The 27658-nt window shown below is 35.0% G+C and overlaps 1 protein-coding gene across 4 annotated transcripts in view, besides 1 other annotated feature; it reads left to right on the forward strand.

Moving 5' to 3' along the window:
• Positions 1-27658, forward strand: part of POU6F2 (POU class 6 homeobox 2) — a 490693-nt gene that overhangs the window by 60503 nt on the left and 402532 nt on the right. The window lies entirely within an intron of this gene.
• Positions 4035-4659: an enhancer, noted in NCBI's record as "NANOG hESC enhancer chr7:39082046-39082670 (GRCh37/hg19 assembly coordinates)". NCBI's record gives its function as "activates a minimal SCP1, AML or CMV promoter by ChIP-STARR-seq in naive H9 embryonic stem cells {active_cell/tissue: H9 hESC(naive)}" and the evidence as "EXISTENCE:reporter gene assay evidence [ECO:0000049][PMID:30033119]".

Below are 27658 nucleotides of genomic sequence, written 5' to 3' on the forward strand. Positions count from 1 at the left end.
TTTGCCTAAAATAAATGTATTTGAATCCCAAAAGGTTTAAGTTAGTTTTAGGAAGATAACTGATAGCAAAGACCATTTCCCAAGCACCCGCCACAACACACATACAAACAGCACTCAGATCTCTGAAAATTTAGCCTTAAGGCAATTTGAATCTTGGGGAAATATCTCCTCATTTTTCATTCTGGCTTGACTTTATTATAACCTTGGAATTAAGTGCGGTGTTTATTCTTTCTTGTGTATCCCTTTAAAAACCTCTTTAGTAATGCTGTTAAACTGCTGAAACCCTTGCCTTATCATCCATACCCACTGTAGTTCTTGCTGATATCTTAATTAACTCCTACATTCCTCTATTTAAATCTTGGCTAGTGTAGAATACGTCCCATTGGAAGCAACAGTACCTGGGCTGACTTTAGTTGTTTCTTTGTGATTTGTCTCAGGCATATGAGAGAGCTTCTTCTTACCCCAGTATCTCCTTCTGTCGACAGGGAATATTAGGTCACCACAGAGACAAAAGAAGGGGAAACTGTGGGTGTTTAATAATGAGGGAAGACAAAACTGCTTATGAAGTGCTCTTAGTTCCCAGGGAATAGGTGATATATAAATACATGGATTTAGGGCATGGATTCAAGCCAGTTTGAATTCACATAAGTTTTGTTGGACAATTGTATCACAATATTGACTCAAGTCCAGATTAGGGCCTCTAGGGTGTCCCTTTCTCTACTAATTTGTAGTTTATTGGTTCCAAGATTCCATTACTCTCTATCTGATTTTCTCGACATTTCTCTTGCTATTTTACCATGGTCAAAAGTTCTGTTTGGAAATGGCAGATACAAGAGGTTATAGAATGCTGGCTTCACATTTAATTTCCTTCATTCTTGGAGACTCACTGTGTTCTCTGTAATTTATTAAAAGAAAATGAATCAATGGTAAAAAGGGCTTATTAGTCAATTTCCATTGCAATCTGACTTTTTTTGTCATCTACATCCTCAGATGTCTACATCTTTAATTTTATGAAGTACAGGTGAGCTCCTTTATGGACGCATCAACTAATTGCATTCACTTAAAGAAAAAAAGAGACTATATTTTTTTCTTTACTCTCTCACTATAGACAATCTCCATAATTGCAAAAAGAAAAGAAAGGTAAATAATGATGCCAAGTAATTCTAATTATTTCAATGGATATTGGAACTCTATCAATTACTTAAATAACTTAGGAATGGAGGTATGTTGGATTAAGAACCATCAGCATGTGAGTTGATAGTCGCAAATAAAACAAATGGTTTGAGACACACATAATATCCGGGACTCTGGTCCTGAGATACTTCTGAATCTAGTATCCCATGAAAGGTATGTCTACAAATTTGGATTTTCAGTTTTTGAGTAATGGGCAAAGGTTAGGTGGAGAGTGCATTTGGAAATCATACTGTGAAACCAGAAGTTTGACTGGGGCTCAACTTGGTGTGATATCGGATTAGGTATAGAGCTTGATGCAATGACTTCAAATCTCTGGTGAATGCAGGTGTCTGGAATCCTGGGCTTAAGTGGGTTGTACTGAATTCCCTCACCTGCTTTTTATCAGCAGCTGTATTGACAAGATTTTCATTACTTCCTAAATGTCTGCACTGGCTTGCTTTATTTTTCCTTTTAAAGTTTATATATATTATATACATATATATGTATTATATATATGTATATATTATATACATTTATATATATATATATATAAATCCCAGATTGACTGAGTTAATCCAGATATCCAGATAACTGCACTTTACTTCTATAGCAAGCTTTACAGGGCCAATAATTTTCTTGCATGTAAAATAATGCATAGGTAGTAAAATGTACAAAAAAACATTAATTTCTTTATTTCTACTGCCATAAAAATCTATCTATATATTTTTAGAAAATCTGAGACATAAAATTTCATTACATAGAATTAACCTGAATTACATTTAATATAATGTAGTTATCCTATCTTTAAGACATATTTTGTGATCTTACCTTTAGCCAGTAATTAATGCCACTTCTAAGATAATAAACAACATTATTTCCTAAGGAAATAGTCAGAAATGGAATGAAAATTTTCTGTACAGTTAACAAATTACCCATAAAATGTAAACTTGGTTTTGAAAAAACCCAAAGCTATGTTTTCCAGAAGAAAACAACTGGAAAAAAATGTAGAAAATAGTAATAGTGGTTATTCTGAAATAGAATTCTGGGTAATTTTAATTTTCTTCCCTGTTCTTTTTTATATTTTGTATTTTTCCTATAGTAATCATTTATTATTTTTCAATGATAAAATATGTAAATCATAATTTAAGAAAAGTATTCAAGCAATAATCTTCAATGAAACAAATTCAAATATTCAAGTATGTAAATTACAACATGGTACTTTGCCTCTTGTCCCACTATGATTCTGTTCTAATTTCTGTTTACCCTTCCTGACATCTTTTCTGTGCCTCTAAACTCACACAAACGCATACACTTTCGCATACTTACATACTCAAACACATACAGACTTTTTTAAAAATGAAAATATACTCATACAGTGGTCTGTAGAATTTTTCAAGCCAATTATTAAAGGGTTGGTGCTTGAATCGAGCCATGGTTAGTGTTCACCTCATGGACATCAGCAAACACTACTCAAGGCTTCCTCCTTCAATGAGAGATGGATCCCAACACACCAGTGGTGTGTACTGTATGTTTTATTCAGCAGCTTGCTTTTCACTTAGTAATGTACCACAGGCCTTGTTCCAAGTCAGTACATATAGCTTTATCTGATTTTTTTTATGGTTGCGTGATCTTCTGTTGCATCGATGGAACCATCTCTCTATGGATAAACTTTTGTGCATTTTCCAATTTTTCACTTCACAAGTTATCCTGTAAAGAAGTATGATGCTTATATAATTGAGGTATTTGTGCAAGTCTTTCTGAAGTTCAGATTCTTAGAAGTGGAGGTTCGTTGGTCAAAAGACATGTAAATTTAAAGTTTGACTACTATTGGTAGATTGCTCTCCAAAATCATTGTTCCAGTTTATACATCAACCAATTCTCCATCTTCTGGTGATCTTTTGATTGAAATCAATCTTCTAAATTTTCTAATTTTATAGGCAAAATGATAAGTATACTTTAATTATCTGTAAGGTTAACCACTTTTTTATGTTTATTGGTCATTTGAATGTCTTTTTGATTTATTTATAGGTACCCTTTATATTATGGATACTACATTTTTGTTACATGTGTTGTAAATATTTTCTTCCAATATATTCTTTTTTATTTCCATCTTATTGATGGTTTCTTTTGTCTTATAAGAGATAAAATTTTGCCTTATGATATCTAGCTTTCATGCCAGACTTATAAAGTCTTCTCTAATCTAAGACTAGGACATTATTAGATGATATCTTTTCTTCCACATGTTTTCATGGAAAAGGAGGCTTCCATTCCCACCCAAAGACCCAAGGAGTATTGAAATGATCTCATCTACTTCTTTACTTTTCACCATGCGAGGAGGATTGGCTAATTTGACTGGTAAGAATCACAGGCATTTATTGGGCTGGATTTACAAACGTTATGGTCAGAGTGTTGAAACTGATAGTTTCCTATGACACAGCCTCTTGTCTTCTTGGATACATACTCTGAAGAATGGGCAGGAGAGCATGTGGGAGGAACAGAGGGAAAGTTGTTTTCCATGCCTACATTTTTATAGAGGTTCCATTTCAATGCCCACTGAGACTATGTAAATAAGACATCAAAGGAATCAGAGGAAAATGATCAATTAAAAATGTGAGTGGCCAAGCTGTAAAATAGAAAGAGCAAATTAAATGAATGGTGACTCCTGCAATGCTACTCCCCACTGTGGCATACATACTAGTGTTTACAGCTTCCTGGTTCATGGGAGGATTGTACTTCTCTGCCCTTTAGAAGTTAAGAGGAACCACTGAATGAGTTCTGGCCACTGGACTGTGGTGGAAAAGTGATGTATGTCACTGTATAGCCAGGACATTCAATTGGGATGGTGAGACTTTCTGCTGCAGTGATCATGGAAGGATGTGCTGAGATCCATGCCTCTGTCAGCAGGGTCTCTGAGTGACGAGAGTGAACAGAGCCCTGCTGCCAACCCATGTTTGACATGTAGCATGAACAAGAAAAAAATGCTGTTTTAAGATGCTGAGATTTTGAAGTGAAGTTGTTTGTTACTGCAGACTGACCTAGCCTATGCTGACTGTCACATTCATCAACAAACAGTGTAGACCTCACCCCAGGTGTATTCCCTTTAATGTCAGCCTCTTTAGAGGGGCTTACCTTGCACTGTCAATCTCCAAGTGGTAAATGGATCTTATCAGAGTCTGCTGGAGACCCATTGAGATGCCTGTTTGTACTTTGTTTCAGCTTTTCAGTTCTATGTGGCTGGCTAAGTCGTGCCTTCAGGGCACACTGACCTGTTTTTAACTGGGGCAGGGAGAATAGAAATCTTCTCCTTTGTCTCAGGCTGTCTCTTACACTGCATCCTCCAATCAGAGGCCTTGCCTTTGGAAGATTTGGAAACACCTGCCAGGACATGAATAACATTGGCAATTTGATCCTCACTGGGCAAGTGATTCTGGAGTGTGTGTATGTTCTCTGTAAGTTGGATCCCAGAAAGGATAATGGGGGAGTGTTAGGCTTCCTAACATCCCACAAAAGACATCCTCCTTAATTTTATTCTGGTAGAAGTTTTATATTTATATCATAGGAGTACAGTTTTAACATGCTATATTTTGCACATTATTGTGTTTAACATGACACATTTAATTCAAGCATGCAATTCTGAATTCCACCACCTTTTTATGTAAAAATGGTAAGAAAATACACTGGGAAAAAAAATGGAACTCTTAGAAATTTCACCATCTGACCTAGGAATGGACACCAATACTATAAAGTAGCAAAGACTATTTATGAGAGCAATTTTTGTGACATTATTCTCTGTCTATAAATATGTCCTCAATGCAAGAAGACCAAGGAGGGGGAAACTCCCCTGTAATACTCATTTAGGGAAGTGAAGGACTGCTTTCCAAACCAAGGCAAGTGCTGTTGCAGTAATGGGGCATCAAACAGGCAAAATTGCATGTGTTGTCAATGGCTACAGTGTAATTTTATTGATTTACAATGTTTAAAGTGAAGACATGATTTCTGGCTTATATAAGGTGTCACACTGGAGTAATTGCACACCAACTGGATTTTATGACCAGTAAAGAACATGTAATGCCCACACAGATTCCTCAGGCTGTCTAGCATTTACGGTTGTTCAGTAATCAAGGAGTTGTTATTAGCCGTTGTCTTGCTTGAATAGTCACAGAAAGAACAGATGTTACCTGGCATGGACTTGGTTTTAGCATACTTATTTAAATCCTCCAAAGGAAAACATCCTCAAGTTGCTAGCTTGGTGTAGTCTTGATCCATTCTGCCCCCTTGGTCCTCCATTGTCCAGGTTTTCAGGAATCCCATAATGCTCTCTGTTGCATGAAGGCTGCCATACCCCAGGCTCAAGTACAAAATTATTGGGAAATACATCTGTCTTTAAGCAATTCACCAGAGTCCTCAGAGGCAGTGATTCTCATGCCCCTTCATCAGAATCACCAGGTTTCCAGGCCCTATCTCAGATGCATTGAAGTAGAATCTCCTGGGCGTAGGGACTTAAAGAGTGCATTTTGAACAAACACCCTAGGGGATTCTTACGCACAGGAGAGTCTAGGAACCTGGAAGTGAAGAAAGAATGTACTTAAGCTGTGACCCATTAGAAAATTTTAAAGAACGTATGGGGTCGATTTTCATTATCATTTTGTTTTCCATTTATGAAATACCTTTATTCAGAGAAACTAAAAAATCCAAGTTTACATCCTTTTTCCAAATGATTTTCATGATGCTTTAAGACACATTACATTCAAGATTTGTTGTGCATAAGAATACATGTCCATATATTTCTACTTCTACAGGGATTATAGATATATTTTATGTAAAGATTCTTTCTGGAGCTTACCCATTCCATTTTTGACAATAAAATGTTTTGAGATATTTTGAGACAATTGTGTTTAATGAAGGAGCAGATACTGTAGCATTTTGATTTAAAATTAAAAGACGTTGTTTTTCTGAGACTGATAGATTTATAAAGCGATTTTCAAAATATTGCCACCTTCGTCATGAAATAATAAATGTTTTCTGAGACTGACCAATACTGTGATGGGATTAAATTAGAAATCCATTTCTGTTCTTACAGGTTGTTGTGGTTAGCACAGGATGTCGTTTCTCACAGGCTAAAAATTGCTGACAGAGCCCATGAATAAGTTGATAAATATGAGCATTTTTTTGCAGAAAAAACATGTTCAAGTTAGCATGCAGAAAGAAGAAAAGATATTTTTCCATATGATGTTTTATAAGAAGGCTGTGATTTTTTTTTGTAACTGGTGATTGGCTTAGCTGGGAAACATATTAAAGGGCAATTATCAGTCCTCTTTGAAGGCACAAAAGGTGATTCCTATCTGTGGTCATTCCAGGGGCATGGTTTGGTCCCTTTCTGAACCCTCACCAGATGCAAATCTTATTTGATCAATTTTGCAATGCTTCTTGTGAAAACAGACTGGCATAAGGAGTCTGTGGCCTTCTAGGTAGTGACTTCTCTGGGTACACAGGTATCCATCTCATTACAGTAATGTTCCTTGAGATTCTTTAAGGCTGTAAACCCTGTAGTTATGATATAGTACACTCCTCTATCAGTTTCCATTCCTCAGAGCAATAAGCATCGCGAATTCGCATCCCGTACCTATAGCTCGAACTGAGAAATTATCAGCACCTTAGTCAGCTTCAGGACCCACTGGGTGGGATTTTCACTCCTACCTTTACATGCCCCAAAGCATGAGAGCTTCCTATATAAAAGCCTGTGGCTAACCCAGCTTCATTCATTCCAGAGGTGTGAGGGGAGGGGTTTCCAGCAAGTTATAGCTCTTTATGCTCTCTCCCTGCCAAGATTCTAGGCACATTGCCATTCGTAGACTTTATGGGATTTTTCCAGTATCTGTTTGCCATAAACCTTCTTGATCTCTCTGACTTCCCTTCTAGTATTATTTGTATTCTCACATTGGGATGAGGCTCTTTAGCTTGTTTTTTTTTTTAATCTTTATTGAGGCATAATTTACATGCTGTACATTCACTCATTCAAAATGTACAATGTAATGATTTTTGTTAAATTTGTGAAGTTTCACAACCATCACTACAACCAGTTTTAGAACACTGTCTTCATTCCAAAATGTTTCCTTATTCCCCTCTACAGCCAGTCTCCACTCCTACCCCTACCCCAGGCAACCAAAGGTCTGCTTTCTGTCACTACAAATTGGCCTTTTCCAGACATTTTACTAATCCATTTTTATTTTCCATTTTACTTTAATTTTATCACATTTTATTTACCCATTCATAGTTGACAGACACTTGGATTGTTTCCTGTCTTTTGCTATTAAGAGTAATGTGGCTATGATCAGGCAGATACAAGTATTTGTGTAGAGATGTTTTCACTTTTCTTGGGTAGATTCTTAGAAGTGGGATTTGTGGGTCATATTGATATGTTTATGGTTCACTTTTTAGAAAACTGTTAAACAGTTTTCCAAATGGCTGTACCATTTTACATTAGCATCAGCAGGATATAACAGCTCAGGTTTCTCCACCTTCTTGCCAAAAATTGATATTGTCTATATTTTTTATTATAACTATTGTAATGGATTTATTGTGGTATCTCATTGTGGTTTAATTTGCGTTTCTCAAATTACTAAATAAGTGAGCATCCTTTCCCGTGTCTTTTAGCTATTTGTATATCTCATTTGGCGAAAGTATATTTAAATTTTTTTCTCATTTTTAAATTGAGTTGTTTGTCTTATTGAGCTGAAGAGTTTGTTATATATTCTGGATACAAGCACTTTGTCGGAAATCTGATTTTCAAATATTTTCCCCCAGTCTGTGGCTTGTCTTTTTATTTTCTTAATAGTTTAATTTGAAGTGCAAGAGTTATTCATCTTAATAATCTTTTTTAAAAAATGGGTTGTGCTTTTATTGTCACATTAAGAATTCCTTATATAACCCAAGTCACAGAGCTTTTCTTCTAGATCAGGATTTTGCATAACAGCATTCTTGCTATTTTCTTCTCGATCAGGATTTTGCAATAGCAGCATTCTTGATATGTTGAGCCAGATAATTCTTTGTCATGGGAGCCTGTCTTTTTCATTCCAGAATACATAGCAGCATCCATGGCTTTTATGCACTAGATCCATTAGCGCTTGCCTGACCCCTTCTCACTGGTTATGACAACTGAAAATGTCTCGAGACATTATCAAATGTCCCTTGGCAAGCAAATTCATCCTGATTGAGAACCACTGTTCCAGAAGTTTTATAGTTTAAACTACTAGCATTTAGGGTTATGGTCTATTTTGAGTTTATTTGTGCATGTGGTATGAGATAAAGATCTAAGTTCTTTTTTTCTTTCATATGAATATCCACTTGTCCCAGCACCATTTGTTAACAGACTGTCATTCCCCCCATTAAATTGTCTCCACATTTTTGTCAAAAATTAATTGACCAAAATTGTAAACATTTAATTCTGGAATTTCATTTTGCTCCATTAACCTATATACATACACTTACAGCAATGCCTCACTGCCTTGATTACTGTAGCTTTATAGTAAGTTTTGAAACCAGGTAGTTAGTGCAAGTCTTCCAACTTTGTTCTTCTTTTTGGAAATTATTCAGGTTATTCCAGGCTCTCTGCATTTATGTATAAATTTTATATATTGATCAATTTGTCATTTTTCACAAAAAAAGCCTATTGAAATTTTGATAGAAATTGCCATGAATCTGTATAAATAAAATTGAGGAGAATTGCCATTTTAACACTATTAGGTTTTCCAATCCATGAAAAGGGAATATGTCTCCACTTATTTCTTTACCTCCCTTTATTTCTTTCACTCAGCACTTGTAGTTTTCATTGTATAAATCTTACACTTTGTTAGATTCATCATTAGTATTTTGTTTTATGTTACTATTGTGAATGGAATTGTATTCTTGATTTGATTTTCAGATTGTTCATTACTAGTATTTGCAACGACAATAGATTTTTTGTATATTGATCTTCTATCATGCAACCTTGTAGAAGGCGTGTGGTGTGTATGTGTATATTCCTAGAACTTTCTCCATACAAGATTATGTCATCTGCAAACAAAAAAAATTGTTTTTGACCATTCTTCTTTTCCAGTGTAGATGCACTTAATATTTTTTCTGTAGACATTGAGGAAATTCTGTTTGATTCCATTTAAAATTTTTTAAAAATCATGAATGCATGTGGAATTTTGTCAACTGCCTTTTCTTTTTCTACATCTGTAAAATGGTCATGTAAGGTAATTTTTAGGTGTTAAATCAACTTTGTATTCTTAGGTAAATCCCACTTGGTTGTGGTATAAAATATGTTTAAACTGCTGATTGGTTTGGTTTGCTAATTTTTTAAAAGAATTTTTGCCTCTGTATTCTCAGGGACATTAATCTGCAATTTTATTTTTTTATGATGTCTTTGGCTGGCTTTGTTAAATAGGCCTCGTAGAATGATTTGGAAAGACTTTACTCTTTCTCTATTTTCTGAAAGAGCAATTGAAGGATTGGTATTTAAATAGTTGATAGAATTCATCAGTGAAGCTATCTAGAACTAGGAGTTTCTTTGTGGTAAGAGTTTTAAATTACGAATTCCATTGCTTTATTGGTTGTAGGTCTATACAAATTTTCTCTCTTTTTTTAAGCTTTTATCTTAGTTTCAGGGGTATGTGTGCAGTTTTGTTACATAGCTAAATTGTATGTTGTGGGGTTTGGTGTTCAGATTATTTCATCACCCAGGTAATAAGCATATTACCTGATAGGTAGTTTTTTTTTTATCTTCACCCACCTCTCACCCTGCACCCTCAAGTAGGCCCCAGTGTCTGTTGTTCCCCTCTTTGTGTCTATGTGTTCTAAGTGAGAAAATGCATTATTTGGTTTTCTGTTCCTGTGTTAGTGTCCTAAGGACAATGGCCTCCAGCTCCATATTGCTGCAATGGACATGATCTCATTCTTTTTTATGGCTGCCTAATAGTCCATGGTGTATATGTACCGTGTTTTCTTTATCCAGTCTACCGTTGATGGGCATCTAGGTTGATTCCATATCGTTGTTATTGTGAATAGTGCTGCAATGAACATACATGTGCATGTCTTTTTGATAGAAAAATTTATATTCCTTTGTGTATATACCCAATAATGGGATTGCTGGGTTTCATGGTAGTTCTAAGTTCTTTGGGAAATTACCAAACTGCTTTCCACAGTGGTTGAACTAATTTACATTCCCACCAGCAGTGTATGAGCCGTCCCTTTTTTCCACAACTTCCCAGCATCTATTTTTATGACTTTTTAATAATAGCCATTCTGACTGGTGTGAGATGGTATCTCATATCTATACAGATTTCCTATGTCTTCTTGAGTCAGTTTGCTCATTTCTGTCTTTCTAGAAATTTGTCATTTCATCTAATTTGTCAAATTTTGGGGAAAAAGTTGTTAATGTCCCTTTAGAATCCTTTTAATTTCTGTAGGGTTGGTACTGATGTTACCTCTTTTGCTCTTTATTTTGGCAATTTGTGCTTTCTTTCTTTTTATTCTTAGTTTGGCTGAAGATTTACCAATTTTGTTGATCTTTTTAAATAATCACCTTTTGGTTTCGTTATTTTCTATGTTTTTTTCTATTTCCTTGATGTTCATGTAAATCCATATTATTTCCTTTTTCTTTTTGTTTTTGGGTTTAGGTTGCTCTTATTTTTCTAGTTAGCTAAAGAGGAAGCTTGAATTATTGACTGGAGACTATTTTTCTTTTTGTAAACTATAAACTTCCTTTTAAGCACTGTTTTAAATGCATGATATACATATTTTGATTTTTTTGTTTTTAATTCAGCTCAAAATATTTTGCAATTTTCTCTCACTCATGGGTGTTAGAAGTGTGTTGTTTAATTTCCAAATATTTGGGGATTCATCAGATCTCTTTCTTTCATTGATTTCTGACTTAATTCCGTTGTAGTCATAGAACACACTTTATATTATTTCAATCCTTTAAATTTATTGAGGCTTGCTTTATAGCCTAGCATAGAGATCAGCAAATGATAGCTTGTGGTTATGCATCTTAAGTAATTACAATTTACTTTATCATAATACCAACTTAATTCTGCTCTGTTATATCTAGCAGTGTGCCCCTGAAGTAGAATTTTTATTTTAGTTATTGTACTTTTATCACCAGAATTTCCATTTGGATTTTTAAAATAATTTCTATATCTTTACTGAGGTCCTTTATTTTTTGGACTATTGTCATAATAATTTCCCTTAATTATTTACTGTTAATTTACTCTAGTTCTTTGAACATATATATAAAACTGAGTTGATGTTGTTATCTGCTAAATTTGGCATCTGAGGACACTCAGAGAAATGTCTATTCACTGCTATTTTCCTTCTTTAATATGAGTAACACTTTCCTGTTTCTTTGCATGTCTCATAATTTTTATTGAATGTGGACTATTTTAAGATGCCATATTATAGCAGCTCTTGATTCCAATTTTTTTTGTTCTGGAGGTTATTACCAATATTGTTTTAAAAATGTGTTTATATCTTTGTTTAGTAACTTGTTTGGACTAAATTTTTGAAGTTTTTTTCATCTATAGTGTGTGGACACTACTCTCTGCTTAGCACCCCTTTTCCCCCAACCCCCTTGCCACAACCTTGTTCATATTTTTAAGGCTGACTTCTTAGGAGTCCTGTTTCTGCATAACCTAATGGTCAGCCAATGATTAGTGAGAGATTGGGCCCAAACACTTCAAGCCAGCAAAATCTCCCGCTGAGTTGATGGGTCTCTATGTGGATTCAGGAAAAAGTTTATAGTTCAGACAGTTTTTAGTTCAGGCTGTTTTGCAGTTTCTGGTATCTCCTCTGCAAAACACAGAGGTTCCTGGTAAGACAGGGATATGTGAACAGCTTGGACTTCTTCCAGTCTCCCCTGTGTGTACACATCACCTCCAGTCAACCAAGGGTATCAAGTGTCTCTATGACTGTCTCATTTCCCATATTTTCCTGCTAAACTTCTGGTTGGCCCATTAGGGCCTCAACCAGGATTCAACCTCAGGTATCAAAATTTGTTGTCCTAATTCCCTTGTCTTTGATATTGTTGCTTATTGTTGACATCTCTGCTGGGGATGGGATTGTCCAACTACTGCTCCAAATCAAGTTATTTTCCTCCTACACTTAAGCTGCTATTCACCATGTGCCCTACCATCTAAGAATTACCATGAAGAAAAATCTGGGGGACAAGAAGGGGAGCAGCCCAGGCAAAAATGCCATGGATTTCCACAGTTCTCATGAAAATTTGATAGTTTTTCTTTAATAAGTGCTTATCAGTTTGCTGTAAGTGTTTGGTCAATTTCCAGGACACTGTAATGGTTGTTTCTGATACATTTGTCTAGTTTTATCATTACTGTTTGGAGAAAATATTTGGTGACTTGCTCATTCCACCAATTCATTCGCCTCTTTTTTTGTTTCCCCATAAGCTGCAGCATCTTGAATTATTCACTTAGATCCCACAGGCCACCATGCCTAGCCTATGCTTCAGGACACCTCATATAGCCTAGCCCAGTGCTCTGCAATGGGCCTTAGACATCTAGGAGAAGACAGAATTAAATATTTTTATTATTTTGAATTTTCATGCAAATGAACCTCAGATCATTGCTTAGAGTGAGTCTCTGATAGGCAGAAGTTCTACAGGCAAAGGACACCAAGGGGCAAAGCTGATCCACAAGAGTGGCATCACTGAACACAACCCATATTCCATTTTTTGCTTAAGAGCAAGTAGTAGAGCTGGCTAGTTTTCATGTGTCTTTTATTTTACAGTATATGTTTGAGTAGGTTTGGGTAGAAATTGCTGGTGAGGGCTAATGCTCGAAAATCTACTTGTTACTTTCTATGTACATAATATTCAGGGCACTGAGGTATGTGATAGGAAAACATCAGGACACTTGAGGAATGATTACATTTCCCTACTTAAGCTTTTCACATATACTCTACAGAAACATTAATCTTGAGTATGAAAAGCCAAAGCTCTAGGTGTAGGAATTGAACAATGTTTGAATAAGGCATTTAGTAATATTCTTTGAGACTTTTAGAGAAGATGTTTTTTACTCAGGTGTAGCTATTCCTTTTATTTTGATTGCCATCCTCTCCTGAAAAAGATAGATTATTCTGTTAAAACAGTTACTAGAGCATGTTCTCAGAAGCAATATGGATCTAGTGGGTGGAGAAGTGGACAGGAAGTTTATGAAAAAGTGTTTGACTCTAGATCCTTATTCAAACATAGTGTATCCATGAGTGTTTATTTTTCTAGAATCCATTTATTCTCTGCTTACTGAAGCTGAGGGTGTCCTTGTCATGCACAATACTGTGTGGTTGGGAGGCGTGTAAAGTAACTATACTTACCATTTGTGTGGCGATTCACCTGTCACGTACTCATGAACACTGAACTGGCTAGGCCCTCTTCTACCGATCACTGGCAGGTGTTGGGGGCTGACTGCTGATTATTTGGGTGTCAGTGCTGAAACACCTTCCTATCACATAGCCTATGCAACTTTGGAGAGCCTTGGAACAACAGCAGAGAATAAGCATCACATAGTGTGTCTTTCCAGTGTGACAGGAGCCATACCTAGCCAGTTTAACAACCATTATTCTTAATCTTCAGAACAACTCCATAAAGTAGATACTGCGACTGCAATATAAATATGAGAAAAACTTGGGCCCAGAGAAATGAAATGATAGTAAAATGTCATAAGGCCAGTGTATTAGTCCGTTCTCACATGGCTATGAAGAAATACATGAGACTGGGTAATTTATTAAGAATTGAAATTTAATTGACTCACAGCTCTGCATGGCTGGAGAGGCCTCAGGAAGCTTATGATCATGGCAGAAGACACCTCTTCACAGGGCAGCAGGAGAGAGAATGAATGCAAACAGGGGAAATACCAGACACTTATAAAACCATCGGATCTCATGAGAACTCACTCACTATCACAAGAACAGCATGGGAGAAACGGCCCCCATGATCCAATTACCTTCACCTGGTCCCACCTTTGACACATGGGGATTATGGGGATTACAGATTAAGGTGATATTTGGATGGGGACACAGAGCCAAACCGTATCAGCCAGTAAGTGGAGAAGAAAGGTTTGAAATTTGATATATCTAATGGCAAAGCCTATGTTTTGGTCACTATGGTGCTCTTCTTCCTTGGGCCATTCACGGAAGCATTCAGATAAAAACATTGTTATTTATTCATCCACTTGTTAATTCAGTATTTATGGGGTGCTCAGTGTGTGCCAGAACCACACTGGACCTTGGCTTTGTCCATTCTCCTAGCTCTTTCAAATCATGATTCTACTTCTAAGGTTTTCTGTTCTTTCTATTGGCTTTCAGAATTTCCTGAAGGTCAGGATCCCCAGATTAGCAGCATCAGCATCACTTGGGAACTTACTAGAAAGCACATTATCAGGCCTGCCACAGATCTACTGAATTAGAAACTTGGGCAGGGGTGTGGGGTATATTGAAGAAGTAGAATACATTCCATTTTTTCAAAGGCCTTAGTAGAGCTGATCTATGATGAAAACCCCTTTAAGATGATGGAAGAAGAAGAACTTAGTGCTCCCTTTTCAGAAATGGTCCCAAAATGAAGAAGGGAAATCCAAGAAATTTTTGCATCACAGCTTTTGCATCACATGGGCCATTTATGTTTGTTCCAGAAAGTAAGCATTCACTAGGAAAGTTACAGTGTATTCACTGTCAAATTGCCTTTTCTCATTGGATCCCTGGTAATTTTGCCCAATAAGGTACTTTCTAAAAGAGAATCCTGATAATTCTTGTCTTTTTCCTTCCTCCTTTCTTCTCTGTCTCTCTTTCCTTTTTGTTATCTTCTCCCTACTTTTCTCTTTTTTCATACATATATTAAATATGTATACACATTTGCCAACACCACCAACTTTTTTCCCCCCAGAAGATCCCTGAGGTAAAGAGTGAGTTACTTAAAATATAAAATGTTCTTTTTTTCTGAACATATGAAATGAATATTTCATCTGTGTGTTCACATGCACATTGGCATGTATAATCTGCAAGCATATGTTACAGATAATTGCCCATTTTTTTTCTATTCTTTATCATCAGTTTTACCACTCTTCTGGGGGTTTTAGAAACTTTTCCTCAGGCTGTCACGCTGTAAAAAATCGCTTTGAAGTACTAACATGTCTCTGGCCTAAGAGAAATCAGTACTGGCAAATAGAACAACAAAATGAAATTTAAAAAAAAAGACCAGCCACGGTGGCTTATGGATGTAATCCGAGCACTTTGGGAGGCAAAGGCGGGCAGATCACTTGAGGTCAGGAGTTAGAGACCAGGCTGGTCAACATAGTGAAACCCTGTCTCTACTAAAAATACAAAAATTAGCCAGGCGTGGTGGCACGTGCCTGTAGTACTAGCTACTAGGGAGGCTGAGGCAGGAGAATTGCTTGAACCTGGAGGTGGAGGTTGCAGTGAGCCGAGATCATGCCTCTACACTCTAGCCTGGGCAACAGAGCAAGACTCCATCTCCAAAAAAAAGAAAAAAAGAAAAAAGAAATTTAAAAAAATCTCTAAACACTTTAAAATGTTTATATATTTTTTAGTATCAAAACTACCACAAGGTACTTTCTGTGTCTTACATTCAGATATATGATTAGACCAATAACACCTTTTGAGAATAATAATTATTATTATCCTATTAATTAGTATGATCCAGTTCTTTATAAAAGGTTACAACATTTCTTATCAACCCTGACCCTCACAACAGTCATGGGCAGCGTAATTGCTCCTATTTTATAGATAAGACGAATAAGCCACAGGAAATTTAAGCAACTTACTCAAACCTCCCATACTAGGGTGACATTAAATAAAATGAAATAAGTGAAATCTAAAGGGGTTTGGCTTATCCTTAATCTTTTATGCCTTTAAAATAGCCATGTTTTATTTCATTTTCTGGAATTGAGGGATGGAAAGTAAATGTGAATGAATACAGGTAATGGCCCTCTAAGCATGAATACAGAGTTCAAAGAGACAAATATTAAGAGGAAGGAGTTACAATGGCTCAGAAAAGGCTTCTTTGAGGAAGGTTGCTTAAACAGACACACAAAATTTGAGTAGGAGAGAGCTGCAGCTGCAGTGGGGGTGGGGGAAGAAGGAGGAATGCTCCTACCACAGCACAGGGAAAAGATCAGAGCTTTTTGGAGACACTTAAAAAAAAAAAAAAGAGCAAGCAAACAAACAAAAAACCATGTCTCACACACTTATTCAATGAGTATGAATACGTGTGTGAGCACATGAAAAAAGCTGCAGAAGTTGAGGATAACAGGTGGAAAAGGCCAGATCATGTAATGATTACTCATTACCCTCAAGATAAGAAAAAGCCACTGAAGAGTCATAAGCAGGGTTGGAGTCTCCGGTGGGGGAGATAATTACATGATCATGTTTGCTATTTAAAAAGATCACTTTGGGTGCAGAGAGAATAGATTGGAAAGGGGCAAAAGCTGCTATCTGAAGGTGAGTTGGATTAGAAGTAGTGGATTGTAGGAACGAAGTAGACGTCAAAGTCAGAAGATAGATAGTGAGGAAAATAAATTAATTAGCCTTGGAGATTAAGTGCAGGTGGTGAGCAAGGGGAACTGGTATGTCAGTGTGTGACTCTTGATAAAGTAATAAAAGAGCTAAGCAATGCTATGATTTGTATGTCATCTTTTACAACTTTCTCTTTGGATATGAGAAAAGATGCAATGGTGGGATTTCTTCTTTCAGGGCAGATAATTTATTATTGTAATTTAAGATAGCTCATCATTGTATTCCAGCAATCCACTAGATTAAGAACACTGCCAGACTTGATCTTATAAGTCCTGTTTGCCTGAATACTAATGGGCAGATTCCGCACTTTAAAAAATCTGCTTTTATGAGTGAGAATATTAAACAAATAATGTTAATTAGGTTACTTTAACTTCCTGTTAAAGATGTTTATCCTTAAGCTCTCCAATTAGAAGCAAATAGGAATATTTTCTTCCTTCCAATCATGACTTCTTTGTTCTTTTCATTCTTTTTTTGTCTAGTTTTTTTTCATTTTGTGATCAGAGTCTGTATGTTTGAGCAAGAACAAAAGTACAAAGCAGGTAAGTAATGTTCTAGACGTTGGTAGAAGAAAATACTGAAACTGAAAATAGTAGATTCCTTCTAGATACACACAAACATAGCACAGAAAGTTTTCTTTTTTTCATCTGATAACATGACTGTGTCTTGATGTTGAGCATTCTGTTTCAATTTTTTCTGGGATGGGGTGAGGCTTTGAAACTCTAGATTCAAGTCTTATTTCTAGAAAATGTTATTAAAGCATACTTTATTATTTCCTAATTTTTTGTTCTTTTCATGTTGAATCTTTTTATTTTGGTCTAGATGACTCATCTATCAATATCTCTTTAATCTTTAAAAAAAAAAGCCATTTGGTATTTGCTTTGTTTTATTTGCATTTAATAACTGGATTGATTTTCCTCAATCCAGTTCTCAATATTTTCAGCAATTTTTATTTTCCCATATAAAATATGAATACAGGGCTGTCATCTGTATAAATTTTTATTTACTCTCTATTTCTCAATTCCAGAAAGTGAGATAAAACATGGTTATTGTGAAGGCATCAGAGAGCCAGGATAGATGTTGTATGTTGTTTCAATTTTGTTTTTATTTTTGTGACAATTTTTTAAATTTTTCCCTCTGTCAACTCCTATTTTATCTCTGTGGTCTTACTATCTTCCATGAGCTATTGAATCTTTGCTTTGTATTCTTGTTTTATAGAGGTTATTCTTTCTTTCATTAAGTTTAAAAATGTATAACAATATATTCGAACATAATGCTTTAAATTGCCTTATGGCAAACATTTTCTGGTGAATGTTCTTTTCTTGATGCATTTTCTTTTGTTGTCTCCTTCTCCATCTTTTTTATAATTTTTGTATGGATAAAGTGTTGACTTCTTTATAAAAATTATTACTCTAAAAACTCAGGACTTCCCAGAATTCAGGATTAGAACTCAACAGAAGCTCTCTCCTTGTTTCTCTCTCTTTCTCTTTTTCTCTCTCTCTCTCTGTGTGTGTGTGTGTATGTGTGTGTGTGTGTGTGTGTGTGTGTAGGTGGTGGGGATGGGGTTGCCAATGCTATGTTCTATGCCAGTAGGACATTTTTTAATAATAGAATTGTGCGTATGTGGGTATTTATTTAGACTTTGCCACTCCCAAGTCAACTGAGATCAGCACTTCCAGGTTGCTCACAAGCTGACAATACAGAATTATCTTCTTTACTCTGTCTTATCAGTGGAATGCTCCCTGAAAACATAACTTGTCTGTATGACCCTTTCTTTTCTTCTCATTGGAATCAAACGAGATTCAGAAAATATTCATTTCTCTATGAGCTGCTGCCCTCAGTTCCATTGTTAAAAAATAATGATTGTTGGTTTTGACTTGAGAATGAGCCCTTCATCTTGGAGAAGGGTGCGTTGGTAGTATTTTCTGAGCTCTGAGGTTGTGGCTTCCTCTCTCTTAAGTCTTTCCTTATCACATTAAACTTTCATTGCTTTTATGGTTCAGGGCTTCAGATGTCTTCTTGTTTTGTTGAAGATGGAATTTGTGCTTCTGTTTCTCATTCTCCTTACTACTTTTGCATGCTTTTAAAAATGGTAACTGGGAAAGGCCATTTTTATACCACCATTCTAAACCAAATATAACAATTTTTAAAAAAATTCTCTCTAAAATTTGAAAAGAAAAAGTGGTAGATCATCATTTTTTTCTGTTTAATTTACATTTCCTTTAATGCTAGTCAGTTTATTTTTGAAATCTTTTTCTATTTCTTTTTATGTCTTTTGTTTCTCATCTTCACACACTTTTATTGGTCTTTTTCAATTTGCAAAGGATGTTAAATCGTTGTATGTCTAGTTTGTTGCAGTTATTAGTGTCAGCTTTTCATTTACCTCCTAATTGTTTATAATGTTTTCAACATGTAAAAGTTCAATAGTTTTGTATTATTAATATTTTCCTTTTTTATTTCTTCCACTGCTGTATGCTTAAAAACTACATTCCTATTCCAACACTAGTTAATTTTCACATTTTAATTCTATTTTTGTAGTTTTACTTTTTTTGTTTACCTCTTTATTCTGCCTGGATATATTTTAGTGTTTAATGTGAGGTAAGGCTTTTCAGTTGACAGTTCTCCAAGTAATCATTTTCTCCTAACATCATTAATTGGAAAATCTCTGCTGTTTCCAGTGATTTGTGATATTTCTATAGTAAGTGGTTTTTACTAGTCTATTCTTCACAGAGTGAGGCCTCACATTGGGTATTGGTTTATTCCTCCAGAAGGAGTTCAATACTGTCTCCTGCTCTCTTTCTGTCCACCAGGCTCCTGGATGACCAGAAATGTTAACAAACAGAACCTGTCCACCTCTGGGGCCCTGCGGGTACCCAGTCTGTTAAGTTCTGATAAACTCAAGTTAATGTCTCTCCTGCTCCAGCTCTTAGACTTTCTCACCATTCCATAAAGCTAGAAACAGCATCTAATTCCTCCCCCCTTGTTTAAATGTACTATCTGAAAGCAGCATATTTCAGCTTGTATCCTCTTCTCCAAGTTATCTGCAGTTCTGTCATTGACTCAGTCTCCCGGGGAACAATACACTAACATCCTGGTGAGTTCTGTACTAGGAGCCAGTCAATGCCCCCGGATGAATTTGGAGAGTGAGAGGAACCCTGATGGGGGTTAGGGATGAGATTAGGAAGGAAGAAGGGAAAGATTCCAAATGATGAACCCCTGTATATCAGAAGTAGAGTTAGGTAGAGGTATGAACCAATCAGTCTCCTGCACAGTGCAGAGGGTCCCATTTTGGGAACACATTTCCATAGTGATCCTAATTCATTACCAGTCACTGATACTGCAATTGTTATACATTTCCGCTAGAATTTGGGAAATCATCTTTTTCCATCACTCTGCATTCTTGTTTCCAGTGTCTAGTCATTTTCAATCTCTTAATGGTTATTTTCACTAGACATTGGAGATGAAGAATCTATCACCATGGAAACATGGAATTACAAGTAGTAAATTTAGATGATTCTAATATTTGCAAAGTATTAGGAGAATAAATTATTCTTTACATGACTAGATACGTAAATGGGTTTATTTATTTATCAGTTTTGTATTGGAAATGTTCATTAACATTTTTATGTAATACAAATGATGGAGGGAACATCTACAAAATCTAAATTGTGGGTGATTTACACAGGGGCAGGGAGTTTTATTAATTTGCATACTCACAGCTGCTGACTACAAACCAACACCCAGAATCTTCATTTAAAAAATTATATTTATGAAAACAACCTGGATTGTATGAAGATCAAGTGTTTAATTTCTCAACAAGGTAAGAAATAGTCTCAAAGACTTGGGAAAATAAAAATGTAAAAAATAAACACCTTTTAGAAAGATGCTGTCATAGCAAATAAAGGTTCTTGGAATGCTTTTATACAATATCTTTTTGGAAAGCTGACAAAACAGCATGGAAATAATGAATCAGTATAATCATTTTTATAACGACTTCTCAGAGGTGTGCCCTATCAGCTCACGTGTTCATGTAGGAACTCAGTCGTAAGCTTCAAAGAAGAGAATTTTAAAATATTATGTTTAGAGATAAGATAATTAGGAAAGGAAAGTAATGTTGAGATCTTTTAAATTAAGTTCTTAGATAAATGTATATATACTTCTAGGAGACTCAAGAGAACAAAGAAAAGAATCAAGGGGAAAGGATTGATTGAAAAGCTTTAGAAACTTGCATGTGATATTTAAAGTGAGTGACCGGATCTCATTCACAAATGTAATACTTAAAACATGCTCAGTTTCCCAAAACCACAACGAGATACCACTTCATACCCACTAAGATGTCTGTAATTAAAAAAAAAAAAAAAGGAAAATAACAAGTGCTAGCAAGGATGTGGAGAAATTGAAACCCTCATACACTGCTAGTAGGAATGTAAAATGTTGCAGCTACTGTGGAAAACAGTTTGACAGTTCCTCAAAATGTTAAACCTATAGTTACCATATGATCAAGAAATGATATTCCTAAATCTATTTCTAAGAGAAGTGAAAACATAGGTTTGTATAAAAACTTGTATATAAATCTTCACAGAAGCATTATTCATAATAGCCAAACATGGAACTAACCCAAATACCCATCTATTGATGAACAGATAAAGAAAATGCGATATAGTCATACAATGAAATATTATTTAGTCATAGGAAAGAATGAAGTATTTATACATGCTACAACAGGGATGAACCTTGAAAACATTGTGCTAAGTTAAAGAAGCCATACAGGGGCCAGGTGCGGTGGCTCAGACCTGTAATCCCAACACTTTGGGAGGCCAAGGTGGTGGATCATGAGGTTAGGAGTTTGAGACCAGCCTGGCCAAGATGGTGAAACCCCGTCTCTACTAAAAATACAAAAATTAGCCGGGCGCGGTGGCGGGTGCCTGTAATCCCAGCTACTCGAGAGGCTGAGGCAGGAGAATCGCTTGAACCCAGGAGGCAGAGGTGGCAATGAGCCAAGATTGTGCCACTGCACTCTCGCCTGGGCAACAGAGCAAAATTCCGTCTCAAAAAAAAAAAAGAAGCCAAACAGATAAACTCATATATATTATATGATTCCATTCATATGAGATGTCCAGAATAGGTAAAGCTGTAGAGACAGAAAATCAGTAGTTTCTTAGGGCTGGGGTATGAGAAGATAATGGAGTTATAACTCAAGGTATTTTTAAGGTGTTGAAATGTTGATTCTGGTGATGGCTGCACACATTGTGAATATACTAAAAACAACTGAATTATACACTTTAAAATGGTGAATTTTGTGATGTAGTTAAAAGAAAAAAGTTCTCAATTTTCACTACAAAATATGAAGTAACTAAATATATGAAAATCTACAAAATCCCCAGATAGGTCTAACAGTCCACCTATGTATTGTCCGAGTATGAGAGAAACGTTCACTACCTTCAAGACAGATAAAATGTTGATGAAAAATGCAGCTGGTAGTCCAACAATGCTGTGTAGCTAGACGCAGAAAGTAGAAAGTTGTCCCTTTCTGTTGCTGGTTCAGAAACTCAAAAAACTCTGCACAAATAGAATGATGGTTCTCAAAGTGTTTGATCTCAGGATTCCATTACATTCTTCAAACTTATTGAAGACTGTTGGGTATGGTGCCGCATGCCTGTAGCCCCAGTTGCTTTGGAGGCTGAGGCAGGAGGATCACTTTAACACAGGAGTTCAAGGCTGTAGGGTGCTATGATTGTGCCTGTGAATAGCCACTCCATTCCAGCCTGGGCAAAATAGACACCATCACTAAGCTTAAAAAAAAAAAAAACTTATTGAAGACTGCAAAGAGCTTTCATTTACATGGGTAATATCTATTGATATTTATTAAATTATAAATACAAAGAAATCTTACCAGATTTGTATATTAATGCATGTTAAAATAAACTCATGTGTTAACATAAATATTTTTATTAAAAATTATATTTTCCAAATAAAATAATTTAGAAGACTGGTATTATTTTACATTTGACATGTAAAATAGAATGACATTTTAATAGGATTTCACAGGAGACAGTTGTGGTCTTATGTCTACTTCTTTGTTTATTCTATTATGATATGTTTATTTGGTTGAGTTTTATGAAGAAAGCAAGAAACATGCAGATATGTAGTTGGAAAAGGAAGGAGTATTTTGATAGCCTCTTAGGATAATCGTGGCTAGTCTTTGATACAGTATCAAAATCTGACTAGTGATAGTTTTTTCAAGCTTAGTTTCAAAGTAGAATTAAAAACCCATGTTAATAAACTGTTTGAACTCATTTACAATAACATCCATTGACCTATTTTGCACTTTAAATGAATCTTTTACCAATTCATAATTTTGCAATATCATGCAACTGGTCATTTGGAAATTATTGGTTCACTGTGTTTTATAGCACTTCCAAGTGTTGACATATTTTATTACACAATATAAAAAATCTTGTTTGTTAATATCACCACTTATTTTAACAGAAAAGTCTTTTTGTATTGGGAAGTTGTTAAACTTTTGGTGGTGAATATAAGTTTTCCAAAATTCTAATTTTTTTCTTTCTGAAAGCTTAAATTTTATCATCAGCAACAAATACTTTTAGTTGTTTTCTTTGAAGTGACAGGCTCGCTTCATTCATTTTTCCCCAAAAAAGTCTGCCTGTCAAATACCAAAGACTGAAAAACCAGCTTGTTGCTCTTTTCTCAAGAATGCAGCTTAAACAATTGCAAGGTGCCTCGCTTTGAAACAATCATTATATTTCAGTATGCAGCTGAGGTGCTTTTGTGCACTTTCCAGTTCATCACACAAAATATTAAGAAAAAGTACACAAGGGGTGCAATTTAAAAATTTTTTATAAATTAATATTTTCACCATTACATCAAGGACTTTTTAAAGTGAAACTGGTCTTCTCTTCTACTTTTTAATCTTAGTGTGAGTTCATGGATACTACACGTGTAGCTTGAAGCCATTATTAGGATTTATACCTAGATACCAGCAATTTGGTCCACCATTGTTTTGCATCCTGAATACAAATGTCAACACAGTGAAAAGGCAAATAATGTGTCAGTACTGTTAAAAAAATACTTATTACAATAATATTATATTACCATGAAAATAATTTTTATCCTGCAGACCTCCTCAGAGTATCTCAGAGATCTTAGAGATTTGCAAAATCATGCTTTGAGAACTGTCGAATGAGAAAATATGATACTCATGGGGTATCATATTAGGCAGTTTGAACACGATCTACCTTCCACCCACTTCTTACCTTTTATATACAGTTAGACTTTGTTATTGCCAAAAGTGACTACATAGAAAGTAGAGAGTAGAAGGCAATTGCCCATTCCATCCTGAGCTAGGAAGGTTGCCACAACAGCACCTCGTGGGCCTGGCTGCAAGTAGAGCCCTAGAATGCACACTAGTGATTGTACTTTGTCATGTGCAACATCAGAGCGTCAGGAAGAGGGGAGGAGAAGATCCAGTTTTAGTCCAGCAAAGCCATACTAGATAAAACCTTAAAAGATATATAATCATTAGTGTGACAGTGGTCATTGGAGGGAAACACTCATAGAAGGGACAAAGAAAAAATATTAGAAGATACTGGGGGGCTGGGTTCATTGACTCATGCCTGTAATCCCAGCACTTTGGGAGGCCGAGGAAGGAGGATCGCTTGAGCCCAGGAGTTTTTTGTTTGTTTGTTTGTTTGTTTGTTTTTTACCAAAAAAGAGATGGTGGAGGAGTGGGGAGAATAAGATCAGGAATTATTTTTAACAAACTCCTGTTCACTGTGGATCTGAGAAACAGACATGGCGATCAGCTTCAGTGAGCTTCTGGAATGGGGTCAAAGTCACTTATTAGCTAAGTAAATGATAGTCTGGATAGCTTTCTTCTGGTGGACAGATACACAGAAAAAAAGAATATTGGACTCATATAAAGGTGCTACAAGACAAAAAGAAACATTATTATGAATGCTCTATAATAGCAAGCCTGTAAATATGATTTACGGTAAAAATCAGAAGGTTTTAGAAAATTCTTTGGCATCCTTAAATGTGTATTTAAGAACTTAACGGATGTGGCAGCTCATGCCTGTAATCCCACCACTTGGGAGGCCAAGGCAGGAGGATTACTTGAGCCTGAGAGTTCGAGATCAGCTTGGGCAACAATTATAGCAGAAAATAGGGCTAAGAGGAAAGACAGCAGAGTGAGATGCAAAAAAAGGAGTTCCTTGAGGAAAGAAAGCATTTCAGTGACAAATCGAAATTCACATTAGAAGATGAAAGTATAGGCTTCCACTGGCAAATTAAACCAATGTGTAATGAAACACGTAAAACTCTTGCAAAACAGAGACAAAGCCACAGGAGCTTAAACGGATGAGAGAGACAATGGATATGAAGGACAGAGAATGAAGAACAATGCAAGACTTCTGGAAGACTAGAAGAAAAGAATTTAAAGCAATGTTAAATGGAGGTGGGGAATCCCTGAGAAATCAAGATTGAGAGGGTTCTCTCAGTTCTAAGAAAATCAATGAAAAGAGACCCACCCTAGAGATATCTTGGTCATTTTTTTTAAATGACAAAAAGAAACAATAATTTTATAAACATGAAGCAAGGAAAAAAAATATTATTTGTAAAAGAACAAGCAGCAGATTAGTTTCAAAACATCCCCATTTGGAAATAAATTTCAGTAGACACTTAAATAATCTCAATAGAATTTTGAGCCAAAAGTAGCAATATAACAAATTTAGTTAGTGAAGACGCCTTTAATGTGTGAAGGCAACAGAAATACATTATCAGATAAACAAGGATTCGGCTGATACACCACCCACATAATCTCTTTTAAAAAATTGCTAAAAGACAGATGAGATGAATCAAAATGAACTAAGGGAAAGGAACATCGTGAAGTAAATGGATTGCTGCTGAACTTTGAAGCCAATTAGATATGAAGCAGACTGAATAACTTAGAAATTTAGTTAAGAAATTGAATACAAATACAAAATAATATTGAAAGAAAACATTTTAGAGTATAAAATATTTTTATAATAATAGTAAATTTGATATAAAATTCTGTATTAAAGACTTAGAATGAGATGTGTGTTGGTGGTTGTATAAAGCTACAGAAACCCATTTTCTTAACACACATTTCATTGAGAAAGGGTGCTTCAATGATATCATTATATTCTCAACTATGAGAGTTGAAAATGAAAAGCTAGTAAGTGTATTTAAAATAGTAGTTACCACTTGAAGAGCTAAAAGCAGAATATAAAACTTTCAAATTTTTGGCAAAGATTAATACAAACATGCACAAATGAAACAAAAAAACAAATGAGACGCATAAAGAAACAAAAACTCCAAATGACAAATGAAGCAGAATGACAGAAAATAAAAATAAAAATTAAACTGAAAATAATAATAAAACTACAAAAACAACTGAGGTAATCAAAATAAGATCAAATATATTAATTATGGCAATAAACATGAATGTTTTAAATTTCTCTGTAAGATATGAATAGCAACTTTGCATTAAAAATATGACAGCAGACATCTTAGTTATAAGAGACACACCTAAAATAAGACATAAAACTGGTAAAAATCAGAGAAGAAGCAAATATTTGTCAGTAAAACTCAAACAAAAAAACCCAAAGTAGAATTCAGGACAAAAAGTACTAAATGATAAAAATTCCATTTCTATTGATGGGAAGATGCAATTGACATCTAATTGAAACATTACACATCAAATAACAAGACTTAAAAATACATAAAGCAGAAATTCTTAGAAAGTCAATGCGAAGTTGATTAAAAACCAGCATTGTGAGAAATATTAACTCATCGGTCAACTTTAGCTAGACCAAGGAGACACAAAGTAAATAATAACTTAAAGAATTAAAACCATAATTTCAGATGTTTAATTTATATATTAGGCTCCCTTATAAACATAGAAGATACTTTGATCTTACGTATCTGTAGATCATTTAAAAGCTGACCATAAAACAAGCCTTAATAAATTCTCCCAAAAAAGAATTCAAAAACACAGTCTCTTCCATAATCGGTTACAATTAAAAATTAATAATAGAGAACAAATTTGTAAAAACCCTCCACTAAATTTAAAACATCTCCAAAATAACTGTTGGGTCAAAGAATAAAATAACATCACAGGATGGGCTATTTATTAATTTTAAAAGTATTAAAACATGAATATGATAATTCACAAGATAGAACAAACTCATAACCTTACATTCTCTCATTATTTTTTAAACGGATAAATAAATTCACAAAAGTGTGAAAATCAAGAAGCTTAAAGACATTGGGTAGAAAGATAATGAAAATAAAAGAAGAAATCAAATTCTTTAAGTTGATAATTGTAACAGGTCTTTGAAAAAGAAAGCCAATAAAATAAATATTTGCTAAATCTAAACAACATAAAATAGGGGAAAAAAAGCATGAGTGAGATAGAAGATTTAACAATGAATATGAAGGATGTTAAAGTGATAAAATAATATAACATACAATTCCATTCGGATATACTTGAAAATCTTGTATATAGATGAATTTATAAGAAAAGATGAATGATCCAAATTGACCAATAAATAAGTAGGGTACTACTATAGTAAAATTATAAAATTATTTAAAAATCCCTCCAAGAGGAAAAAGAAAGAAAATATGTGGCTGCTAGTACAGATAATTTTACTAGTAAATAATCTCAAATTTTCAAAAGACACATATTCTTATGCTTCATAAATTATTCCAGAGATAAAAAAATATTGAAAAGGACTGGAATAATTTTATAAGCCAATTGTCTTGATATTAACCCACAACAGAGCAATTGAAAAAACTTGTAAACTAGTTTTATTTATAAAGGTATCAATGCAAAATACTCAATAAGATATTCTGAAACCCAAATTCGGCTTGA

Source organism: Homo sapiens, chromosome 7 (genome assembly GCF_000001405.40).
Source record: "Homo sapiens chromosome 7, GRCh38.p14 Primary Assembly".
In the NCBI taxonomy this organism is placed as follows: domain Eukaryota; kingdom Metazoa; phylum Chordata; class Mammalia; order Primates; family Hominidae; genus Homo; species Homo sapiens.